At 35.2% G+C, this 6,983-nt stretch overlaps 1 annotated feature.

Moving 5' to 3' along the window:
- Positions 4,820–6,019: an enhancer, noted in NCBI's record as "MED14-independent group 3 enhancer chr9:76299062-76300261 (GRCh37/hg19 assembly coordinates)". NCBI's record gives its function as "activates an origin of replication core promoter dependent on BRD2, BRD4, P300/CBP and CDK7 cofactors, and independent of MED14, by STARR-seq in HCT116 cells {active_cell/tissue: HCT116}" and the evidence as "EXISTENCE:reporter gene assay evidence [ECO:0000049][PMID:35650434]".

The following is a 6,983-nucleotide window of genomic DNA, read 5'->3' on the forward strand; positions in this document are numbered from 1 at the left end:
AAAATTATTATGCTAAGTGAAATAAGCCAGACACAGAAAGAGATATGTGTGCTACATGATCTTACATGTGGAATCTGAAAAAGTTGAACTTCTAGAAGCAAAGGGTAAAATAATGGTTGCTACGCTCTCGGGTGGAGAAAAAAAGATGAGCTTATAAATAAATCCTAATGCTCATTTTTGGAGAAGTCGACAATATTAAACAGTTATCAGCAAATCTACTTTTAAGAGAAGGGAGAAATATTAGTACACAAAATTACAGGTGACAAGAGGAAAATATGATCTAAGCATTAGAAATTTAAAGAGAAACCACTTACCATAACTCTTTGCACACTTAACCGAAATTCTTTTCAAAAATAAAATTTACCAAAAATATCTATAATATAATATCTATAATATAGAGAGTTTAATTAAGCAATTGCACTAAGTAAATAAAAGTCTAGTAGAACTCTCCATAGTCCTCACCACTGTCCCAGTCCCCACTCAATACACGCAAGAATTATATTGAGATGGCTTCAACTGGCATTTTACCAAACCTTTAAGAGTCAGATAATTTCAATTACACTTAAGGAAAATCAGAGTATAGAAAAAGAAATAATAGTTCGTAATTTATTTTGAGAAGCATGTGTAACATAAGCTCTCCAAATCTGACAAATATTGTACCAAGGTAAAAAACTATGGATAATCATCACATATGAATATCAGTGTCATAAGTTTTCAGGCACATTACATAATTTCAAATAAAAGCAATACTAGAAAGAACTAAATGGAAATACAGAGATAAAAAGCATAATACATAAAGTTTAAAAAATAAATAATTATGGACTGAGCTAAACAGGAGGTTTAAGATAGCAGAAAAAAGTGTCTCTACTTGAAGATGGATCAAGATATTACTCAATCTGAAAATCAGAAAGGAAAGAGGCTGAAAAAATAGAATAGAATTAAAGCGACCTGTATAATAACAGTAGTCTAACATATTATATGATTAACATATGAAAGTTATGATGGTGCAGAAGAAATATTTTAAAAATAATGGCTTTAAACTTCTCAAATTTGATGAAAAAGAATCCTAACTTAGGGACCCAAGATGCTTAACAAAACCTAAGAAGAGTAAGTATGAAAAGAACCAGAGCTCAGCATGTCATAATCAGACAGCTGAAAACCAAAGATGAAGAAAACATCTTGAAAGCAGCCAGAGGGAAAAGAAGTATCAGGTTTGGGGGAAAAATATAAATTGCTAGTGATTTGTCATAAGAAACAATGTTGGCCAGAAAATCATTAACGATTAAGCAAAAATACATTAAAATAAAATTCTATGTTGAATGAAAAAAATATATATATGCAATTTGTCACAATAGTTTCACATTATAATAAATTACTAAAAGGTTTCCTTCATGCCAAAGGGCAACTATCAGATAGGAAGTTGAAATATAAAAACTGTAGGAGATTATTGTATTTGTTATTTATTGTTATGTAACAAATTACCCTCGCCCTTAACCATTAATCTTATGCCTGTGGATCAGGCATCCGGGAGCATCTTAACTGGGTGGTTCTGGCTCAGGATTTTTATTGAGATTGGATTCAGGCTATCAGTGAGGAATTAAGTCAACAGTGGTTTGACCAGGACTGGAGAATCAACTTTCAACGTGACTCCCTCACATGCCTGGCATGTTAGGTGCCGGTTGCTAGGACGAGGCTTCCGTTATTCTCCATGTGTGTATTTCCAAACACTGAGAATCCTGATGACATGCAGCTGGTTTCCCCTAGAGTGAATGATCCATGAAAGAGTACAAGGAGATTGTTGCAATACCCTTTATGTCCTAGCTTCACATCGTATCATATAATAGTCTCTAAATGATACTTTGCATTTCTGTAGTCTCAGTTGTTATGTTCCCTTTTTAATTTCAGATTTTATTTTGGTCTTCTTTTTTTTCTTGGTCTAGCTAAAAGTTTGTTGGTTTTGTTTAAATCTTTTCAAAAAAAACCCCAAATTTTTGTTTTATTGATCTTCTATAATTTTGTTGGTCTCAATTATATTTATTTTTACTCTGATCTTCATTATTTCTTTCCTTCTACGTTTTTTCAGTTTGGCTTGTTCTTGATTTTCTAGCTCCTTAAGGTGCATTGTTAGGTTGTTTATTTGAAGTCTTTCAATTTTTTTGATGTAGATGTTTATTGCTATAAATGTCCCTCCTAGCATTGCTTTTGCTGTATCAAATAGATTTTGGTATGTTGCATTTCCATTTTCATTTGTTTCAAGAAATTTTAAAATCCCCTTCTTAATGTCTTCATTGATGCACTGGAAATTCAGGAACATATTGTTAAATTACCATTTTTTGTATGTAGTTTCCAAGGTGGTTTTTGGTATCAATTTCCACTTTTATTCCACTGCAATTAGAAACAATACTTGATATGATTCTTTTTAGAATTTGTTAATACTTGCTTTGTGGCCTAAAATATAATCTAGAGAATGTTACATGTGTTGATAAAAAGAATTTGTATTCTGCAGCAGTCAGGTGAAATGTTCTGTAAATGTCAATTAAGACATTTGGTCTAGTATGTAGTTTAACTTCAGTTTCTTTTTTGACTTTCTGCCTGTATAATCTGTTCATTATTGAGAGTGGGTGTTGATATCCCCTACTATTATTATATTGTACTCTATCTTGCCTTTAGATTGATTTATGTTTGCTTTATATAGTTGGGTACTCTGGTCTTGGGTGTATAGATATTTATAATTGTCATATCTCCTCCTGCTGTATTGTTGACTCCTTTATCATTATCGAGTGACCATTTCTGTCTCTTTTTAGTCTTTAACTTTAGTCTATTTTGTCTAAGTATAGCTACCCCTTCTCTTTTTTGCTTTCTACTTGCATGGAATATCCTTTTCTTCCACCCCTTTCTTTTCTGTCTATGTGTGTCTTTATAAGTGAGGTGAGTTTCTTGCAGGCCACATATGACATAAGAAACATGAATTTTGTTTCTTTATTCATTCTGCCACTCTGTGTCTTTTAATAGAAAAATGAGTTAATTTACATTCATTGTTATTATATATAAGTAACAACTTACTACTGCCATTTTCTTACTTGTTTTTCAGTTGTTTAGTAACTCCTCTCTTCCTTTCTTTCCTTCCCACAGTGATCCTTTGTGGTTAAGTGATTTTCTCTGGCAGTATGTTTTGATTTTGTCTGGCAGTATGATTTTTTTTATTTTTAGTGAATCTATTATAGGTTTTTGCATCTGTGGCTTATAAAAATCCTCTTAAAACAAAATCTTTTAAAAATATGATCATTTATTTTAGATCTCAAAAAATCAGAAACAAACAAGAAGCTAAAAAAATTATATACTTTAGGTTCATCTCCACCACATTTCGACCTTTGGTTATCTCAATTTACATATTTTTATATTGCCTGTCTCTTAACATGTTCCTGTAGCTATTGTTTTCTATAGATTTGCTTTTTAGGCTTTATACTGGAGTTATGAGTAGATTACACAGCACAATTGCAATATTAGATTATTCTTAGGTTGTCTACTTAATTTTACCAGTGGGTTTTATGTTTCCAAATGTTTCCTCCTTGCATGTTAGTTTTGCTTTCTTTAAGATTGAATAACTCCCTTTAGCATTCCTTGTAAGAAGGGTCTGGTGTGGTAAATTATCTTAGCTTTTGTTTGTCTGGGAAATACTTTATCTTGTCTTCATAACTGAAGAATAGGTTTGTTGGATAAAGCATTCTTGGGTGACAGGTTTTTTTTTTTTCTTTTCTTTCAGCAGTTTGGAAATGTTTTTCCTCCCTCCTGACCCACATAGTTTTCATTGAAAAGTCTGTTGCCAGACAAATTGGAGTTCTTTTATATGTTACTTGCTTTTTTTCTTGATGCTTTTAGAATCAACTGTTTGTCCCTTTGAGATTTTGATTATTACATGCCTTGGGATAGTCTTATTTGAAAAACCTTTGAGATTTTGATTATTACATGCCTTGGGATAGTCTTATTTGGGTTGAATCTGTTTGGTGTTCTCTGATCTTCCTGTACCTAGATATTTATATTTTTATCAAGTTTTGGAAAGTTTTTTTCTCTTTTTTTGGCATAAGCTTTCTACCAAGTGCTCTTGCTCAACTTTGTTTCGAATACCAATAATTCTCAGGTATAGTCTTTTGAAGTAATTTCCTATATTCTGTAGGTAATCTTTGTTTCTTTTCATTCCTTTTTTCTCCTCTGATGATGTAATTTCAAATAGCCTGGCTGAGCTCAGTGACTCTTTCCTCTTGTTGATCTGTTCTACTATTGAGAGCCTCCAATAAATTTTTCAGTCCAGCAAATAAATTTTCAGTTCTGAGATTTCTGTTTGATTTTTGAAAATTATTTCAATCTCTTTGTTAAATCCTTCTGATAAGTTTCTCAATTACTTTTCTGTTTTATCTTGGAGATCACCAAGTTTTCTTACAGCTGCTGTTTTGAATTTTGGGTCAGAGAGTTCATAAGTTAGTCACTTGTTCCTTGCTTTGTCTGTTTGTGGAGGTCATGGTTCATTGTTTGCTGATGCTTCTAGTGGGTGTGTGTCTATGCATTTGCATTGAAAAATTAATTACTTATTCCAGATTTTTTAATTGGCTTGTTTAAATTTTTATTTGAAGTGTTTGCTTAAAAATTCTTAATTTACCCATTGAATTTCTTGTATTTTTTCCACTAGGTCACTGCCTCCTTTTTGGCACTAGATGGCATCTTAAGTCCAGGTTTGCTTCAGCTTTAGCAAACAATTAGAGCACTGCCCTGCTGGAATGGATGAGATCCCAAAGGGGACATCCCAATGATACAGGATTTTTCTCTAGCTCAGCTAAAATCTGGGTTCTTGTCTCATGACCAGGAAAAATTAAGAATACAGACACATTGAAAGGTGAAGAAAGCAGAATTTATTAAAAGAAAGCTCTCAGCAAAAAAAGAGAGGGTACTGCCAACAGGCTCCCAACTCACAGATGGAATACCAGGCCACCACACAGGAGCTGAAGGGGCCAGGCTTCTCCTCCCTTCATAAGGGGTAAATTTCAGGTGGCTCCACCCCATTCTCCCAGTGTGTAGGTGGGCCTTTACTCTGAGTCACTCAACATTGATTTATTTACTTTACTGTGCATGAGTTAAGAGACAGAATTTTGTACCCTGGGCATGTTTAGGCAAGCCCCCTGTGCACAATGACCTGAGTGGCATTTGGCTGCCTCCTGTCTCTATCACCAGCAGTGTTAAAAGGTTGGCTAGGGGTTTGTGCCCAGGGGATTTGTGGAACATACCTTCTACACCCTGGTGTTAGTGAACAGCCACTCTTATTTGGTGTCTCCTTTAGCCTAGTTACAGAGCAGTATTTCCCATGCTGGGGATGGTAGTCCCACCTCCCAACTTTGTCTCTAGCTGTCTTCAGGGCTTTCTCTCCCCTCGGGCATGCTTCCCGTGGTTGAGGCATGAACAGATCTCCTGCCAGGGAACACAAGATGGTGAGTAATCTGGTTGTCCACCTTTATCTCACTTTTTCCAGTGTAGAAATCATGAGTCAAGGAAATTTTCCGCATGCTTGGGGCCAGGTAGACTGGCAGAAGGGGTGTCATGGATATGAAAATCCTATTCTTTGACTGTCTTCTTGGAGTATTTTTCACTCCTCTGCAGCCCAGGGAACTGATTCATCCTAATATTTGAGTTCTGGGATATGGCTGGTGATAACTTCACTGATGTGTATTTGGTTTTGGTTTTCTGTGGGGTGGAGTGGGTGAAGCCAGCTTGCATCTACATCACCAATTTGGATCGCTGCTAATTTATTTTTAAGAAGACTGGAAAAGGGTACTTTACAAATAACAAACACAGGAAAAGGTGATTAATATTGTAAGATGTTAAGAAAATTCAAATCAAAACCACATAATAGGCCGGGCGCAGTGGCACATGCCTGTAATCCCAGCACTTTGGGAGGCCGATGTGGGTGGATCATGAGATCAGGAGTTCAAGACCAGCCTGGCCAATATGGTGAAACCCCGTCTTTACTAAAAATACAAAAATTAGCCGGGCATGGTGGTAGTCCCAGTTACTTGGGAGGCTGAGGCAGAAGAATCACTTGAAACTGGGAGGTGTAGGTTGCAGTGAGCCGAGATCGTGCCACTGCACTCCAGCCTGGGCAACAAAGCAAGACTCTGTCTTAAAAAAAAAAAAAAAAAAAAAAAAACCCAAAAACAAACCAAAAAAAAAAAACCACTCATAATAAATATATTACTACATTCTCACTGAAAATGACCACAAATTTTTTTGCAAAAACTGAAAAAGCTGAATTTAATGAACCACTGGAACTTGCACCCACCAATAATGGAGAATAAGTTAGTATAATTACCTTGAAAAACGTATTGGCAGGATCACTTATAGTTAAAGATATGCTTATCTAGTGACCTAGCAATTCCACTTGTATGTAAATATCCAAATGAAATGAAAGTTATTGTCCACTGAAAACATATAAAGACATATTCAAAGTAACTTCATGTACTGTAGCTAAAATGCATAAACAATACAAATATTCATCAAAAATAAAATGTGCCCTGCACAGTGGCTCTCGTCTGTAATTCCAGCTATTCAAGAGACTGAGATGGGAGGATTGCCTGAAGCCCGGAGCTTGAGACCAGCCTAGGCAACATAGTGAGACTCCCCTATCATCTTTAAAAATAGTTTTAAAAATTAGTCAGACATGATGGCAGTGCTTGTAGTCCCAGATGAGGAGGGTGAGGTGGGAGAGTCCCTTGAGCCCGGTTGTTTAAGGCAGCAATGAGCTATGATTGCAATATTGCACTCAAGCCTGGGTAACAGAGTGAGATCCCATCTCTAAAAATATAAAATAAAATACAACAAGAAAATGCATAATATGTTGCTGCATGTTCATATAAAAATATAGTAGAAGGAAAAGAACTGCTACTCACAATGATATGAATAAATCTCACAAAATAGCAAAGCAAAATAATCCAGACATG

The sequence above is a fragment of the Homo sapiens genome, chromosome 9, assembly GCF_000001405.40.
Source record: "Homo sapiens chromosome 9, GRCh38.p14 Primary Assembly".
Lineage (NCBI taxonomy): Eukaryota > Metazoa > Chordata > Mammalia > Primates > Hominidae > Homo > Homo sapiens.